Source organism: Homo sapiens, chromosome 7 (genome assembly GCF_000001405.40).
Source record: "Homo sapiens chromosome 7, GRCh38.p14 Primary Assembly".
Taxonomy (NCBI): Eukaryota; Metazoa; Chordata; class Mammalia; order Primates; family Hominidae; genus Homo; species Homo sapiens.
The window spans coordinates 964,828-981,508 of record NC_000007.14 but is presented as its reverse complement, the minus strand read 5'-3'; the positions used below and the strand labels follow the sequence as shown (position 1 = coordinate 981,508).

Below are 16,681 nucleotides of genomic sequence, written 5' to 3'. Positions count from 1 at the left end.
CTCTTGACCTCATCATGATCCGCCCGCCTCGGCCTCCCAAAGTGCTGGGAATTTTGTAAGTTTCTTTTAGAGACGGAGTCTAGAGGCTGGTCTTCAACTCCTCCTGGGCTCAAGCGATCCTACTGTGGCCGCCTCCAAAAGCGCTGGGATTACTAGCATGAGCCAATGCCGGGCCGGCCTCTTTTTCTTTTCTTTTCTTTTTTTTTTTTTTTGAGATGGAGTCTCACTCTCGTCATCCAGGCTAGAGTGCAGTGGCATGATCTTGGCTCACTGCAACCTCCATCGCCCGTGTTCAAGTGATCCTCCTGCCTCAGCCTCCCGGGTAGCTGGGATTACAGGCATATGCAACCACACTCAGCTAATTTTTGTATTTTTAGTAGAGATGGGGTTTTGCCATGTTGGCCAGGCTGATCTCGAGCTCCTGACCTCAAGTGATCCACCTGCCTTGGCCTCCCAAAGCACTGGGATTACAGGCGTGAGCCACAGTGCCCAGCCCTCTTTTAAAAGTAACTCGTTGGCCAGGCGCAGTGGCTTATGCCTGTAATCCCAGCACTTTGGGAGGCTGAGGTGGGCGGATCACGAGGTCAGGAGATGGAGATCGAGACCATCCTGGCTAACACGGCAAAACCCCATCTCTACTAAAAATACAAAAAATTAGCCGGGCGTGATAGCGGGCGCCTGTAGTCCCAGCTACTCAGGAGGCTGAGGCAGGAGAATGGCGTGAACCCGGGAGGCGGAGCTTGCAGTGAGCTGAGATGGCACCACTGCACTCCAGCCTGGGCAACAGAGTGAGACTCCATCTCAAAAAAAAAAAAAAAAAAAAAGTAACTGTTACTGGGGAATTAACAGTACTCCTCTAACGGCTGCCTGTACGTGTTGCTTGCTCTGGGGGGCATGGCCGGGTGTGCATATTTGCATATTTACATTGTTTCCAATCTTAGGCTGTCACAGAACATCCTGATAAAAATATCTGTGTGCATACTTGCAAGGATGGGCACAGTTGCAAGGATATCTTAAAATAAATTCCTAGAAACCAGGTGGCTGAGCCAAGGCATTGTTGCTTTCTGATGTCCGGTGGACCTCCAGCGCCCTGCAGAGACGTGTGCCAACTGCAGCCTGGCTGCTCAAGTGGAACTTGGGACTGTTCTGATCAGACCTGATTGGTCCAGGCCTGCCAGACAGATACTCAGGCCTGAGCCATCTCTGTGACCAGGAGGAATGCAGTGCTGTGATTGGCTGGCTCAGGTCCTGCCTGCCCCTGACATCAGAGGCAGGGTGGGTGAGGTGGGTGGGTAGGTGGGCTCCCCCGGAGGGGCTGGAGTCAGACAGACCTGGTTCCAAACTCAGGCCCGCACCTGTCGGCTGTGGCAGATGGCGGCTTCCAGAGATGGCCGCACAGATTCTCCCAACCACACTGTCTTTGCGTAACGTAACACTGCGCTTCTCCCTCCACAGGAGGGCTTGTGGTCTTCCCCCTTTGTGACACAAAGTAGCAGAGGCCAGAAGCCGTGTTTGCTCATTCCACCAGTGGAGTTTCACGGGACGCTTTTGCAGTGTACTAGAGATCCACCAGACATCAAAAAGGAACTGTCCCTTGGCTCAGTGACCCGGTTTCCAGAAATTTAGTTTAAGGCATCCTTGCAACTGTGCGGAAAAAAGTGTGCGCCCTGCCTCAGTGACTGGGCGCGCCCCCTGGAAGAATGTCCCAGAGACTGAGCAGGCATGGCGCAGGTGCCCACGGCTCTTGCTTGAATCCCTGCATTTTTTTTTTTTTGAGACGGAGTTTCCCTCTCTGTTGCCCAGGCTGGAGTTCACTGCAACCTCCGCCTCCCAGGTTCAAGCGATTCTCCTGCCTCAGCCTCCCGAGTAGCTGGGACTACAGGCACTCACCACCACGCCCGGCTAATTTTTGTATTTTTAGTAGAGACGGGGTTTCACCATGTTGGCCAGGCTGGTCTTGAACTCCTAACCTCAGATGATCCGCCCACCGTGGCCACCCAAAGTGCTGGGATTATAGGTGTGAGCCACCACACCCGGCCAAATCACTGCGTTTTTTAAAAAGATAAGGTCAACGATCCTAGCCCTTGTCTCCTCCTGCACATAAGATAACGTCTGACAGGATCAGTGGCTGTAATCTATGACGAGATGGACTCTTGCACCGAAACTTTGACGATCGCATTTGGCTCTAAGGTACCCCCTGAGCAGGTGCAGAGCCTCCGCCACCCGTTGATAAGCTGAGGCCCGAAACATTGCTTTGGAGCAGTCGAACTGAAACTCTGAAACACCCTCCCGGATTGCAATGCTCAATAGGAATCTGAATAAAACTAACTTTACTTCTTCGAAAGCAAAATTTTCCTTTAGTTGACTCCTTGAATCTGGGTGGGCACTTGTGGTCACAGTGGAGGCTGGATCCCAAACAGTGATGCAGCTTCCTCTTGGTTCCCCAGGACACCTGTGCCGTGGACCCAGCCGCCATGCTGTGGGGAAGCCCAGCAGCTCGTAGAGGGGCCCATGTGGAGGGGAACCCAGGCCCACGGAACCGTGGCCAGGCTTCCACATGACACTGAGCCCACCTGCCTGCCAGCCACGTGTGCCATCGTGAGTGGATCCTCCAGTCCGAAGTGGAGCTAACCCGGCCCAGGCCTCGTGGAATGTCTCCACCAAGCCCTGCCCAAGTGCAAGTGCAAGTTCACGGGTAATGACTGCTGCTAAGCTTGGGGTGCTTTGTTATGCAGCGGCAGATAACGCGAACACGGCCACGTAAGCTTCAGCAAGGGCTGTGACCCCTTGAGTCTGTTTCTCTGTGTCAGATGAGGATAATAAGACCTACTTAGCTGGATTCATTCATCTTCGAGCTATAAACGGAGCATGTCCAGCGTGCCAGGCACTGCTCCAGGCTCTGGGGATCCGGGTGGAAATACCTGCAATACCTTGATTGCTGGGGCTCAAACAAGGTTCGTTCCCTCCTCTGAGCTTTTCCTTTTTTCTTGTAGACAAGGTCTCACTTTTTTGCCCAGGCTGCAGTGCAGTGGTGCGATCTTGGTTCACTGCAGCCTCGACCTCCCAGGGCTCAGACGATCCTCCCACCTCAGCCTCTGGGGTAGCTGGGACCACAGGTGTGCGCCCCTACACCTGGCTAATTTTTGTATTTTTTATAGACGTAGGGTTTCAGCATGTTGCCAAGGCTGGTCTCAAACTCCTGGGCTCAAGTGGTCCGCCCACCTCGGCTTCCCAGAGTGTTGGGATTACAGGTGTGAGCCACCGCCCCCAGCCCCTTCCCCACTTTTTACACCGGTGAACTGCTCATAAAAATTCTTTCCTCTTCTCTCCCAGCTAAAGATCTCATATAAAGCAATAATCATTTGCCAGGTGACAGTCAATTAAAAGCCGGTTGTCACCTCCAGGCCACAGGTCCCTCGGGGCTCCCAGACAGAGAGGCTTAGGGCAGCCCCAACGGAGGGGCTGTCCTTCCACTGCTAAGCGGCTGCTGCAGTCAAGTGAGTGAGCGCTTCTTTGCTGGGTAATAAAAGCTCCCATTGTTCACAGCCCTGGAAACGTATTAATGAGTAACCCAGTGTGTGGGCCCCTGGTTCTAACCGGGTAAAAAGAGTTGTTTATATGACAGGAACAAGCTGCAATTTTCCTTTTGTAGTTTTCAGTGGGCCCAGAGCCACAGGCCAATCAAGGCCCTGACAACTAGATTTCTGCAGCCCTGGGCCCTCCTTGGGGCCTTGGCCTGAGGTCCCCACTGCCCTGCGGTTCAGAAACATTCAGTGCCAGACTCGCGGCTCAGCTCTGGGCACACAGAGCAGAGTCCGACCTTGGGCGCAGGAATCTAATGGTGTGCGTTGCAGAGGGGCGGGCTCACCAGGGCCCAGCAAGGGGGAGAGCTGGAAGCCTCATGGGGAGGGGACGCCTGGGCCAGGCTTGAAGAAGGGCAGGCCCCGGGGTGGGGGCTGTTGGGCCGCCTTGACCAAGCCCTTGTCTGCAAACAACCCCTGGGAAGTTGCAGGAACTGGCTCCTAAGCAACAGTGGGTTCAGGTGTCACCAGGGTCCAGAGCGGGGGGCCAGGCAGCGAACTCGGTGTTGCTGGGGACCCACTGTGCTTACCACGAAGGCCTGGCCAGTGATTGTGAAATGGGTGGGATGGATGAGTGAGTGGAGGCTGGAGCTTGGGCCGCCCATGGTGCTCTAAACGGGCCAGTGTTCGACTTCCTCATGGCCAGGGCATGTGGGTACAGGTTCAGGGCTGGGAGAGACTCCGCGGGTGGACGCTGGGGTCTTCACTGAGCCCTTTCCCACGACTGCTGTTGCCATGACAACATCGACACGCAAAGGCCGGGCCTTACCGCTTACAGTACACTTTCATTCTGCCCTAGGTTGAGCTGTAACTACCCTCCACCCCCATTCGTATGGTGAAGCCACTAGGACCTTAGGATGTGACCTTTGCTTTGGAAATAGGTGCCAGGTGCGGCGGCTCACGCCTGTCATCCCAGCCCTTTGGGAGGCTGAAGTGGGCGGATCACTTAAGGTCAGGAGTTCGAGACCAGCCTGGGCAACATGGTGAAACCCCGTCTCTACGAAAAGTACAAAAAATTAGCCGGGTGTGGTGGCGCATGCCTGTAATCCCAGCTACTCTGGAGGCTGAGGCAGGAGAATCTCTTGAACTCGGGAAGTGGAGGTTGCGGTGAGCCGAGATCGTACCACTGCACGCCCGTCTAGGTTACAAAGTGAGACTCTGTGTTGAAAAAAAATATATTAGCTTAGCTGGGTGTGTTGGTGGCGCCTGTAATCCCAGCTACTCGGGAGGCTGAGGCAGGAGAATTGCTTTAACCTGGGAGGTGGAGGTTGCAATGAGCCAGGATCGAGCCACTGTACTCCAGCCTGGGCAACAAGAGAGAGACTCCGTTTTAAAAAACAAAACAAAGAAATAGGGTTGCTGCTGATATAATTAGTTAAGATGAAGTTATTGGGACGGCCCCTAACCCAACATGACTGCTATCCTTATAAAAAGAGGAAATTTAGGTTGGGCATGGTGGCTCATGCCTATAATCCCGGCATTTAGGGAGGCTGAGGCAGGAGGATTGCCTGAGCCCAGGAGTTAAGGACCAGCCTGGGCAACATAGGGAGACTCCATCTCTACGAAAAATAGAAAAATTAGCCTGGTGTGGTGGTGTGTGCCTGTGGTCGCAGCTACTCAGGAGGCTGGGGTGAGAGGATCGCTGAGCCCAGGAGGTCGAGGCTGCAGTGAGTCGTGATCATGCCACTGCACTCTAGTCTGGGCAACAGAGCAATACCCTGTCTCAAATAAATAAATAAAAATAGTAAATTTGGACATGCGCAGGACACCATGGGAACGTAGGGGCCGAGACCAGGTGGTGCTTCTGCAAGCCAAGGAACCTCACAGGCTGGCGGCCCCCAGAAGCTGGGAGGCTGGGACTGTCCCCAGGGCCCCCACTCTGCCCACTGCTTGGACTCCAGACCCCAGGACTGAGAGCACATTCCTGTTGTTGAAGCTGCTCGGTGGTGTCACCTGGCTCCAGCAGCCGCAGGCAGCGAGTCCACAGGCTCTCCTGTCCCTCCTGTGCCGCCTTCCTCCCCGGATGGGCCCCGTGATGAGGTCTCTGTGCGATGGGGAAACCGAGGCCCCAGCAGACACCTGGGATGCAGAGACGCCGGCACCGCTATGTGTCCTCGGGCAATTCGCTGAACCTTTCTGGGCCTCGGTTTCTCACCAATTCCAAAAGCTGATTCTGCTACCGACTGCTGTGAGGGTCCCAGGGGACGGGAAAGCCCGGGCAGCGCCCACCGGGGCTCAGGAGCTTGCTGACTCCGAGGGGGTGGGGCCGGGCCTGGGCAAGGGGTGGGGCCGGGCCTGGGCAAGGGGCGGGGACGGGGCCTGCTCGACGTGCTCGGCGCTCCCGGGGTGCCTGCTCGGCGCTCCGCCGGCCGCCCTGCGTACGCTCGCAAGGCGCTCGCAGACTCCGGAGTCGCCAACATGTCGACCGCCATGAATTTCGGGACCAAGAGCTTCCAGCCGCGGCCCCCGGACAAGGGCAGCTTCCCGCTGGATCACTTAGGTGAGCGGCGGAAGGTCGGCGGGCAGGGGTCTGCGATGGGGGGTCTGGGTCGCGGCCCAGCGCGGAGCCCTATGGGGTGCCGGCATCTAGCGCGGTGCAGGCGGGGAAACTGAGGCACGGCGGCCCGCCCCTCCGCCCCACCCAGCCCTGGGTCACTGCTGCGGCATGGACCCTGCAGGTGGGAGCTGGCAGGACCGTGGCCCCCGTGACGAGGGCAGCGACACCGACTCCTTGCGTCAGGCTTCCGGGTCTCCGGCTCCGCCCTGACTCACCCGGCGGGCTGTCTGTGCCCCGGGTTTGCAGAGCGGGGCATTCGGCGGCCACGAAGCCCGCAGCTGCAGCCGAGGCTTAGACGGTGCCTAGCGATGTCTGCTGCAAAGCTCAAAAGTGCTGCTGATCTCCCAGTGCTTCTGGCCGTATTCCGGTGGGGTTGCCTCCGTGGACATGAAGGCTTCGAAAAAGGATCTGTGGGCCGGGCGCGGTGGCTCATGCCTGTGATCCCAGCCCTTTGGGAGGCCGAGGTGGGCGGATCATTTAAGATCAGGAGTTCGAGACCAGCCTGCCCAACATGGGGAAACCCCGTCTCTACTAAAAATACAAAAATTAGTTGGGTGTGATGTGGCTCGCCTGTAGTCCCAGCTACTCGGGAGGCTGAGGCAGGAGAATCGCTTGAACCGGGAGACGGAGGTTGCAGTGAGCCGAGATCGGGCCACTGCACTGCAGCTTGGGCGACAGAGTGAGACAACGTCTCAAAAAAAAAAAGAAAGAAAAGAAAAGAAAAACGATCTGTGAATTACTGTTTCTTTCCCAACATTTTATTGTGACATTTTCAAATAGCAAAAATGAAAGAATTTTTACCCTGAACTCTCCTGTGACCATCACCTACATTGCACCTTAACCTCGTACTGGGCTGACTTTACCTCGTTGTGGGTTTTTTCCATTGTTGTTTTCAGCATGTTTATGAAGGAAACAAGTTTGGGTTTGATTGTTTTTGTTTTGAGACACGGTCTCACTCTGTTGCTTAGGCTGGAGTGCAGTGGTGCAATCATAGCTCACTGAAGCCTCGGCCTCCTTCCTTTCTGGACTCAGGGGAGTCTCCCGTCTCATCCTCTAGAGTAGCTGGGACTATAGGTGTGCAGCGCCACACCCAGCTAATTTTTTTTTTTTTTTTTTTTTTAGAGATGGGGTTTCCCCATGTTGCCCAGGCTGGATTATTTATTTATTTATTTTTGAAATGGACTCTCACTGTGTCGCCCAGGCTGGAGTGCAGTGGTGTGATCTCGACTCACTGCAACCTCCTCCTCCCGGGTTCAAGCGATTCTCCTGTCTCAGCCTCTAGAGTAGCTGGGACTATAGGTGTGCAACACCACACCCAGCTAATTATTATTGTTTTTTTATTTTTTATTTTAAAGATGGAGTTTCCCCATGTTGACCAGGCTGGATCATTTATTTATTTATTTTTGAAATGGAGTCTCACTCTGTCACCCAGGCTGGAGTGCAGTGGTGTGATCTCGACTCGCTGCAACCTCCGCTTCCTGGGTTCAAGCAATTCTCCTGCCTCAGCCTCCCGAGTAGCTGGGACTACAGACACCCGCCACCATGCCCGGCTAATTTTTGTATTTTTAATAGAGATGGGGTTTCACCAAGTTGGCCGAGCTGGTCTTGAACTCCTGACCTCAGGTGATCCGCCCACCTCTGCCTCCCAAAGTGCTAGGATTACAGGCGTGAGCCACCGTGCCCAGCCTGGATTATTTTTAGGAGACAAGGTCTTGATCTGTTGCCCAGGCTGGAGTGCAGTGGTGTGATCAAGCTCACTGCAGCCTCGAAATCCTTTGCTCAAGCGATCTTCCTGCCTCAGCCTCCTGAGTAGCTGGAACCACAGACGTGCGCCACACCTAGCTAACTTTTAAGGTTTTTTTTGGTAGAGATGGGGGTCTCACTGTGTTGCCCAGGCTGGTCTCAAACTCCTGGGGTCAGGTGATCCTCTCAGAGTGCTGGGATTACAGGTGTGAACCACTGCGCCCGGCCTGAGGAAACAAGTTTTGAAAGGAAAAGCAGCGCAGCTCTTAAGGCTGTTGTGTGGTTGCATCACTTTTCACTCTGAAAAGAACATGCTGTTTTCTTTCTCGTTCTAGGTGAATGTAAAAGCTTTAAAGAGAAATTCATGAAGTGTCTTCATAACAATAATTTTGAAAATGCTTTGTGCAGAAAGGAATCAAAAGAATATTTAGAATGCAGGATGGAGAGGTGAGTACAGCTAAGCGTTATGATTTCCACCTCCCACTACTCCAATTAAAACTTTTTTTTTCCTGAAAGGCCATTACAGTGTGTCTTTTTCAGGCCTGGGATTCAGCTTGTGTTTTTCAGGACTGTGGAATTGTTTGCCCTTGAAATGGAGGCTTATCAGATGAAATTGTACCAAAAGCTGTTTCACAATCTTGGGAACCTCTTCTTGAGCGATAGCGTTATACATGATTGCATTCCTGAGAGCATTTTCTTTCCACATTTGGTTGCTACCGACCTGTCATTAAGGTTTCCAAATCGTGCATCATAATGCTGACTGAGTCAAAAGACCGAAGGTCGTGGGTACACAGTTTCTTTCTTTTGCATTCTCAGATGTTAAAAATATGCACTGGGTTGTTTTGCTCCACTTTGAGTTGTTGGGAATGTGACAGGGAGGACAATAGACTATTTAAGAAATGATGAAAGATGAATGATTCTTCCTGTCGTAACCAGAACTCACCAACGCTCACTTTTAAACAAAACAAACGCGTTCGTAGCTATGATCCCCACAGCTTTTACTTAAAATAAGAGCTATTCTAATCCCTTATGCAAAAAAAAGCATGTAGCATATAATTATATGATGGTAGTGGGAGCTTTTATTTTTGCTTTTCGAGGCCATGATTAGCTCACTAAGCATTTCGGTCTTCAGACAGCTGTGTCTGTGCTGAAGACAGGTTGACAATTCGCCCATCCACTTTGAGCTCTTTTCATGTTCCCATAACATACTCAGACATTTCCCTCAAGGCAAAAATCCGTTGTGCCTTTCCGGCCACACAGGTGTGTTCGGGGTTATTCGTGTGGACATTTGGGGCCGTAAGGATGATGGGCCTTCTCAGCGGTGTGGACTTCAGTGAGGCCACGTTCTGCCTTTGGGGCTGTCGCTTAGGCTCTTCCAGGGCTCACATTTGTCCAAGGGCCACACTGAATCTGTCTCTTACCATCTCTGATTGTTTAAGTAGCACGCTGGCTGGAGCCACGTGTTTAAATTAGTCTTAAATTAATGCATCTTTAGAAAACTGGAACTGAGAATTTCTCCATGGCGCTGCCAAGCTTTAGAGACGGTGTGAATTGAGCTGTGTTCATGTGAGGGTGTGAGCAGGCCTCCTGCCTCATGCTCAGCTTCCCCTTGAGACTCCCGAGGACAGCTGGGAGGAAGGGAGCCAGGGCCAGTGCCTCAGGTGGTCTCGCAGATTGGCCAGGCAATGTTTAGGCAAATGTTCAGGGCATGTGTTCTGATTTCATTGTTTTTTTATTTTTATTTTTATTATTTTTTTGAGACGGAGTCTCACTCTGTCGCCTGGGCTGGAGCGCAGTGGCATGATCTCAGCTCACTGCAAGCTCCGCCTCCCGGGTTCACCCCATTCTCCCACCTCAGCCTCCCGAGTAGCTGGGACTACAGGCGCCTGCCACCTTGCCCGGCTAATTTTTTGTATTTTTAGTAGAGACGGGGTTTCACCGTGTTAGCCAGGATGGTCTGGATCTCCTGACCTCATGGTCCGCCCACCTCGGCCTCCCAAAGTGCTGGGATTACAGGCGTGAGCCACTACGCCCAGGCTTTTGTTGTTTTTTGTTTTTGTTGTTTTTTTTTTCTTTTTAAAAATTCTGCTCTTTCTATAAGGTCAGTTATTTTGACCGTAGAATTTCGATTGGTTATTTGTTCATGAAAATCATCAAACATACAGAAGTTGAGGAGTCTACCTCCCATAACCGGCACCCACCCTGTTTTTAGCCATTTCTTTTCTTCCTTTTTCCTTCTGTGCTAAAATCCTAGACATTACTTTACTCCAACCTCCGTGTGTGTCTGTTTTAGAAAATGGACCACAATGGAGTTTTTAAAGTTGTCTCTTGAGGACTTGGACCATGTTTGCCTGATGTGAAAATATAGGTGTGTTTCAGATGACCACCGTGGTCTGAGATCTCAAGCCTCTGCAGTGATTTAGAAGTTCGCGTCCTGTCCTGGGGATTAGTTTTAGGCACCGGGTGTCACACAGACACGCTGGTGGAGCAGCCTCACCCGCTGCCAGCAGCACAGAGTGTGTGGGGGCCTCATGGGATGATGGCTGGGCCTCCTGGCTGGGTTGTGGGGAGGGTAAAGGAGGCCATCCCTGTAAAGCACGCAGCAGGATCGGGGGGCATGTCACCATGTGTGAGTTCACATGATAGTAACTATTGTCCTGAAGAGTGTGGGGCCCATAAAGAGTCATGCTGAGTCGTGAATTTCACGCCTCTAAGATGGCTGCACTGCGATAAACAGCTGGGAATTATTTTGGCAAGAAGTGGTGGCTCACATCTGTAGCCCCAGCACTTTGGGAGGCCAAGCAGGAGAATCACTTGAGCTCAGGAGTTCAAGACCAGCCTGGGCAACATAGTGAAACCCTATATCTACAAAAAATTTCTTTAAAAATTAGCTGGCTGGGTGCAGTGGCTCACGCCCGTAATTCCAACACTTTGGGAGGCTGAGGTGGGCAGATCACTTGAGGTCAGGAGTTCAAGACGAGCATGGTGAGACCCCATCTCTACTAAAAATATAAAAATTAGCCAGGCATGGTGGCAGGCGCCTGTAATCCCAGCTACTTGGGAGGCTGAGGCAGGGAGAATTGCCTGAACCCGGGAGGTGGAGGTTGTAGTGAGCCGAGATCATGCCGCTGCACTCCAGCCTGGGCAACAGAGTAGGACTCCGTCTCAAAAAAAAAAAAAAAAAAAAATTAGCTGGCCGGGCAGTGTGGCTCATGCATGTAATCCCAGCACTTTTGGAGACCAAGGTGGGTAATCACATGAGGTCAGGAGTTCGAGACCAGCCTGACCCATATGGTTAGACACCGTCTCTACTAAAACTACAAGAATTAGCCGGGCGTGGTGATGTGCACCTGTACTCCCAGCTACTCAGGAGGCTGAGGCACAAGAATCACCTGGACCTGGGAGGCGGAGGCTGCAGTGAGCCGAGATTGCACCACTGCACTCCAGCCTGGGCAATAGAGCGAGACTGTTTCTGGGAGAAAAAAAGAAATTAGCCACGCATGGTGGCATACACCTGCAGTCTCAGCTACCCAGGAGGCTGAGGCGGGAGGATCACTTGAGCCCAGGAGTTCAAGGCTGCAGTGAACTTGAACCGCTGATCACACCACTGCATCCCAGCATGGGAGACAAAATGAGACCCTGTCTCTTAAAAAAAAAAAAAAAAAAAAAAATATCAGATAACTGTCGACCTGAGTCTCAGTTCCATCTGGGTGGATGGCAGCCTGAGGTCTCCTCTGCCAGGGTGCCGTGGACAGTGGCAGGCACAGGTTCCAGGGATTAGGGCGTGAACACCTTTAGGGGTCATTATCCTGCCAATCAAAGCAAGTCTGAGAGGTCAGCGTGAAGCTGTTGTCCAGATACATCTTTTAGCAGGACGTGGGGAAGTGTTGTGTGCTGGGGGCAGCGGGTGCAGCTGCCCCTCTTGGACATCCCAAGAGGCCCCAGGCCTTAGGCCCTGGGACGTCTCTAGGTGGTCATGTCCTCATTGTCCTGTTGACTCTGCCCAGTGGGGAAGGCACCAGCCACGGGGGCCGAGGCCGAGGGGCCACTCTCCCAGGACATAGATGGAGGTGGCAGGACCCCCGGTGTGCGCTGGGAAGCCGGGGCCTGCAAGGGCCCCTCTTGTCCTCTCTGCACCTCCCGCCCTGACAGCTTTCTCTTTTTCTTTTAGAAAATTGATGCTACAAGAACCATTGGAGAAACTGGGATTTGGAGACTTGACTAGTGGAAAATCAGAGGCAAAAAAATGAATTTTGATGAGAAGACCCCTGGGCCGTGTTCAGTGGTCTCTCAGGACGGAGGGCATCATCCTGCCTCTTAGGTTGGCTGAGGCCTGCGTGTGGTGTCCTTAGAAATGGGCTTCGAATAGAAGCTCCAGCCCTGTGGGGGCGTCTCCTGGGTAGGGAGTGGCGTCCCGTTTTCCCTTAGGAGGGTGTTTCTGCATTGAACCCCTGAGTGGGACGGCGTTCCCGGCAAAGCTGGGAGGGAGGCGAGCGTGGGGCAAGACCCTTGTCTTCGAGGCCGGGGCCCTCTTGTATGGGGCGGTTTTATGTTGCAGTCCTCTGATACTTTCTGAGTTCAAAGAGGTAAATGTATAAATTTCAGTCCCTTCTGAACACAGATATCATCAGAAAATTACCATTCCCTAGCAGGATGTTTTCGTGTTTGTATTCGTATATGCCAGTTCATTTCCTTTGAAAAAAAAAAAAAGTGGAACACAAAGTAGGAAGTGAGAACCTTCTGGCTTTGGATGGATTGACTTCTTGATTCTTTCTGGTTTTGCCTGAACACCAAGTAGCTTCATAATCAAAGGGTCATTTTCTGGTTTGTATCAGACCGTATTTATAAAGTTGGGTATTTAATTTCAGTAACTCCTGTATTTTAACAGAAAAAGAACCTGAGTCCATTTGCAGTTAGGCTCGCACCAGCTGTCTTCTGTGCCAGCCAGCTCCGCCCGAGACCCCGGCACGTGTTCGCAGCACAGCCTGGCAGGGGCCCTGAGCGGAGTTCTCAGCCCGTCTGTGCCAAAGTTGCCTGTGGGTCACGGAAACCCGGCCCATGTCCACCCAGTGCGTCAGGCCAGCCGGGGCCCAAACCTGTGGATGGAACGCAGGTGCCTGCACATCTGGGGCCTCAGCCAGACCTGTCTCCTTCCCAGGCACTGTCGGAAAGGGGCTGGCTCCTGTCTGGTCAGTGGAGGATGGTGGCAGGAGACGGGGTGGGGAGGTCCAGGTCACGTCCTCTCTGGCGACCCTGGCAGTGGCTGTCTCCAAGCCCTGGCAGGTGGGGCCACCAATCTGGCCGACCTCAGGCTCTGGGAAACAGGCTGCCCTCGTCCCTCTGCCTGTGGGTGGCTGAGGCTTCTCAGCCCATCTCCAGTTCTCTGCAGCAAAGGCCCTCTGTTTCTGTCCTGCAGTGGTGGCCCTTTCGTGGTTAAACATGTCCCTCCCCTCCTCACAGAACTGAGTACCTATTGCGGCTGGGCCCGCCCAACCCTGTGTCCCTGCACCCATGGGTTCTACCACCTGATTCGGCTGCAGCTGTCACTGTCCCGTGTCTGCTCTCTGTCAGGCCTCTGAGTGCTGCAGACGTATTAACATATCACCGCTAGTTGATGGAAAGTCTTGTTTCTTATTAGAATATTTTGTGTAGGCACAGGGTTGCCCCAGCACTGTCTATAGCAACCCCAGTGTCCTCACAGTGCACGTGAGCCGTGACGCAGCCACCGTGGAGTCGGCGCTGACGCGGTGTGGCCACGTGCCATGAGCTCGCCAACGCAGTGCGGCTATATGGCGTGAGCTTACTGTGAAGTGGAGACAGGCAGGGACACAGGAAACTACAAACGAGAAATCCAGAAGGAGGAGCTGGAACTGATGGGCATAGCCGGCCGCGAGCCCCTCCGAGCACCCCTGGGGGTGGAGTTCTGGCTGTCATGGCAGAGGGTTTCACATGCTCAAAAAGTAAATGAACCAGGATGTGAGGGGAACACAACAGACCATGCCGACGGAGCTCCCGGGCCCAGGCCGGGGCCTCTTCCCATCGCACTCTGACCCGCCGTCGGGAGTGCCCAGGCCCGGGTCGGGCCTGCCTCTCCGCTCGCACCGCACTCTGACCCATCAGGAGTGTGGGGAAGACCGTCGACCAAAGGTGGGAAAGACAGGAAAGATACTGTACTCTAAGTAGTAAATTTGTTTTTTGCGTGGACGATTCTGAAGCTGTATTCTGAGATGGAAAAAACTAGAAATACATCGTGGATGATGAGAGCCAGGTGTATTGAGCTCCTGCTTTTCTAACGTACAAAGGTAACTGGATAGAGAAACGGAGTGATCGCCCTCACCTGGCCAGGGTGTGCTCCGAGACCCCAGCAGGTGCCGAAGCCGCGGATAGTCCCGAATCCTGTCCAGGCGCTGTTTTTTCCTGTACGTACCTGTGATCAAGTCTGAGATGTGACAGCAAAACTGACAGAACTTCGTGCTTCCCTCTTCAAAATGTCACAGATGGGCACTGTGTTCTTACCGGAGATCTTAGCAACCTCGGCATCTGGCTGTTTTTCTTATAGGTCAGGAGTTTCCACCTTTTCCCTTAAAGGAAGCGCTTGGCAGCTTCTCTGGTGTGTCTGAGTCGCCAGCATCACCACTGTCCTGTTCTGGGGCCATTCTTAAGTAAAATAAAAGCTTCTTGGACCCAAGCACCACATCACCGCGATGGCTGGTCTGATCACCGAGATGGCTGCTGAGTGCCTGGCAGGCAGGGTGGCGTGGATGGCCCGAAACGCTGGACGGAGGGAGGGTTGATGTCCCAGCAGGACGGCTGCTCAGAACAGCACAGAATCAAAAACTCATGAATGGTTTATTTCTGGAATTTTCCACTTAGTATTTTTGGACTGTGGCTGACCATGGGTAACTGAAACCGTGTGTAAGGGGGACTGTTGTGAGGGGCTGTGCACAAATGCTTCCCAGCTCTTGAGGGCCTGGACGCAGTGACCCGTGCACTCAGGGTCTTGGCCCTGATACCATTCTGTAACCAAAAGGAACCAGGGCCAGGCCAGAGAAGGTATCAGATGAGCTAGAGAGTGAAGAATTGCTGGGATGAGGAGACTTGTTGAAATAACACGGGGGGATGGGAAGGAGCATACGGTGGCCAGCCTGGGGCAGTGTGAGCGTGAAAATAAACAGGCTGGGCGCAGCGGCTCACGCCTGCAATCCCAGCACTTTAGGAGGCCAAGGTGGGAGGATCACTTGAGGCTAGGAGTTCAAGACCAGCCTGGGCAACATGGGTGAAACCCTGTCTCTACAAAACAAGAAAAGTCAGCCGTGCGTGGTGTCACCCGCCTGTAGTCCCAGATACTCAGGAAGCTGAGGCAGGAGGATCACTTGAGCCAGAGGTTAAGTCTGCAGTGAGCTGTGATTGTACCACTGCTCTCCAGCCTGAGCAACAGAGCCGGACCCTGTCTCACCAAAGGAAAAAAAAAAAAAAAAAAGAAAGAAAATTAATTATTGTAATGGGCTGTAGCCCTCAGAATAAATTGATATCCAGTAGTCTATACAACATAAGTAATTGCGTAAACATGTCAGTGGGGGGAGGGCCAGGTCTGTCTTATTAATTCTAATATAGAAGAAATTTTGGGAACAGGAAACTGCTGTTGCAGAAACCACACTGGTGACAGGTGCAGATTACAACCCTCAGCGGGCCGGGCGCCAGTGGCTCACGCCTATAATCCCAACACTTTGGGAGGCCGAGGCAGGCAGATCACTTGAGGCCAGGAGTTCAAGGCCAGCCTGGCCAACATGGAGAAACCCTGTCTCTACTAAAAATACAAAAATTAGCTGGGGCTGGTGGCGTGTGTCTGTAATCCAGCTATTCGGGAGGCCGAGGTGGGAGAATTGCCTAAACCAGGAGGCAGAGGTTGCAGTGAGCAGGGATTGTGCCACCACACTCCAGCCTGGGCGACAGAACCGTCTCAAAAAAAAACCCTCAGTTGCCATGAAGTGAGTGGTGACGTGTGGTGTGAAGCAGGTGTCTGCTGTCTTGAGAAACCTCCCCTTGAGATGCATAGTGACCTCCGAGGAGACAGTCATGTCACAGCAGAACGGCAGAGGCCCCCTTAACCCAGCAGCCACCGCCGGGAGCGAGCCGCACAGGCCGCACCGACCTGGGGGCGTCCCTGAGGGCACGGTATCACCTCTGGTTCTCTTGCCCAACTGCATGGCCTGAATGTAATCCCAAGGAGACAACAGACACAGACCCAAACCGAGGAGCCTTCTGCGAAGTGACTGGCAGCGCTGGCCCAGTGTTATGTAAGATGTTATTTGGGGAACTGGGTATACACACTGTCCTATTTTTGGAACTTTTTGGAAGTCTGAAATTATTTTGAAATGAGGAAAAAAAAATATGCTTTGTATGAAACTATAGTGGAATAGATTGAGTCGATTCTCGTTTCAAAATAACTTCAAAGAGTTTCCAATAGGCATGATGCCGGCATGAATGGTTTCAGCAGGTCACAGGCAGAGAAGCCGGAATCCCAAAATAGCGCCATTGTGTGGACAACCTGACTCCTTACAAACGTGCAGTGGCTTCCCAACGCTGCCTTTGAGTTTCTGGGTCTGGCTGCTGAATGTGTTGTGCTTAAGAATCCAGACACCCTGCTGTTCCTGCCAGAGCTTCTCACGAGATATTTCGGGTAGTTCATCATCTGTCATGTGCAGAATGCATTTTATTTCTCATAGACGCTTGTCATGATAAGCTGGCCACATTATTAAAAGGCTCCCAAAGACAATTTCCAGAGCGTTTTCCAAGCGTT

The 16,681-nt window shown here is 52.9% G+C and overlaps 2 protein-coding genes across 6 annotated transcripts in view, besides 8 other annotated features; both read left to right on the top strand.

The window, feature by feature from the left end:
• The window catches only part of CHLSN (cholesin), a 160,294-nt gene extending 156,749 nt beyond the window's left edge, over window positions 1–3,545 (top strand). For 3 of the 5 annotated variants that reach the window (NR_156697.2, NM_001424326.1, NM_001424325.1), the window contains one exon: window positions 2,448–3,545. Coding sequence is in view for 3 of the 5 variants with exons in the window: in NM_001424326.1 (NP_001411255.1) it covers window positions 2,448–2,561 (114 nt within the window). In the remaining 2 variants the exon portion in view is untranslated. Of the gene's footprint in view, window positions 1–1,037; window positions 1,246–1,455; window positions 2,351–2,447 lie in introns of those variants that run through there. The other 2 variants (NR_188533.1, NM_001424327.1) reach the window with 2 other exon arrangements.
• Window positions 4,974–5,854: an enhancer, noted in NCBI's record as "NANOG-H3K27ac-H3K4me1 hESC enhancer chr7:1015291-1016171 (GRCh37/hg19 assembly coordinates)". NCBI's record gives its function as "activates a minimal SCP1, AML or CMV promoter by ChIP-STARR-seq in primed H9 embryonic stem cells {active_cell/tissue: H9 hESC(primed)}" and the evidence as "EXISTENCE:reporter gene assay evidence [ECO:0000049][PMID:30033119]".
• Window positions 5,786–6,065: a silencer, noted in NCBI's record as "silent region_17834". NCBI's record gives its function as "represses an Ori minimal core promoter by ATAC-STARR-seq in GM12878 lymphoblastoid cells {active_cell/tissue: GM12878}" and the evidence as "EXISTENCE:reporter gene assay evidence [ECO:0000049][PMID:35858748]".
• Window positions 5,786–6,737: a biological region, named in NCBI's record as "NANOG-H3K27ac-H3K4me1 hESC enhancer GRCh37_chr7:1014408-1015290".
• Window positions 5,855–6,737: an enhancer, noted in NCBI's record as "NANOG-H3K27ac-H3K4me1 hESC enhancer chr7:1014408-1015290 (GRCh37/hg19 assembly coordinates)". NCBI's record gives its function as "activates a minimal SCP1, AML or CMV promoter by ChIP-STARR-seq in primed H9 embryonic stem cells {active_cell/tissue: H9 hESC(primed)}" and the evidence as "EXISTENCE:reporter gene assay evidence [ECO:0000049][PMID:30033119]".
• Window positions 5,960–16,657, top strand: COX19 (cytochrome c oxidase assembly factor COX19). The gene is made up of 3 exons (NM_001031617.3): window positions 5,960–6,081; window positions 8,217–8,328; window positions 12,053–16,657. Exons 1-3 carry the CDS (start codon window positions 6,000–6,002, stop codon window positions 12,129–12,131), a joined length of 273 nt encoding a protein of 90 aa, NP_001026788.1. The 5' UTR covers window positions 5,960–5,999; the 3' UTR covers window positions 12,132–16,657.
• Window positions 6,086–6,245: a silencer, noted in NCBI's record as "silent region_17833". NCBI's record gives its function as "represses an Ori minimal core promoter by ATAC-STARR-seq in GM12878 lymphoblastoid cells {active_cell/tissue: GM12878}" and the evidence as "EXISTENCE:reporter gene assay evidence [ECO:0000049][PMID:35858748]".
• Window positions 6,486–6,555: an enhancer, noted in NCBI's record as "active region_25483". NCBI's record gives its function as "activates an Ori minimal core promoter by ATAC-STARR-seq in GM12878 lymphoblastoid cells {active_cell/tissue: GM12878}" and the evidence as "EXISTENCE:reporter gene assay evidence [ECO:0000049][PMID:35858748]".
• Window positions 13,438–13,938: an enhancer, noted in NCBI's record as "H3K4me1 hESC enhancer chr7:1007207-1007707 (GRCh37/hg19 assembly coordinates)". NCBI's record gives its function as "activates a minimal SCP1, AML or CMV promoter by ChIP-STARR-seq in primed H9 embryonic stem cells {active_cell/tissue: H9 hESC(primed)}" and the evidence as "EXISTENCE:reporter gene assay evidence [ECO:0000049][PMID:30033119]".
• Window positions 13,939–14,439: an enhancer, noted in NCBI's record as "H3K4me1 hESC enhancer chr7:1006706-1007206 (GRCh37/hg19 assembly coordinates)". NCBI's record gives its function as "activates a minimal SCP1, AML or CMV promoter by ChIP-STARR-seq in primed H9 embryonic stem cells {active_cell/tissue: H9 hESC(primed)}" and the evidence as "EXISTENCE:reporter gene assay evidence [ECO:0000049][PMID:30033119]".
• Window positions 16,658–16,681: the final 24 nt, after the last annotated feature.

Excerpts from the sequence above, each read along its gene's own strand:
- COX19 (NM_001031617.3), top strand. The coding sequence starts at position 6,000 with ATGTCGACCGCCATGAATTTCGGGACCAAGAGCTTCCAGCCGCGGCCC. Across the intron at positions 6,082-8,216 it reads CTTCCCGCTGGATCACTTAG|GTGAATGTAAAAGCTTTAAA; the intron begins GTGAGCGGCGGA and ends TTCTCGTTCTAG. Across the intron at positions 8,329-12,052 it reads TTAGAATGCAGGATGGAGAG|AAAATTGATGCTACAAGAAC; the intron begins GTGAGTACAGCT and ends TTTTTCTTTTAG.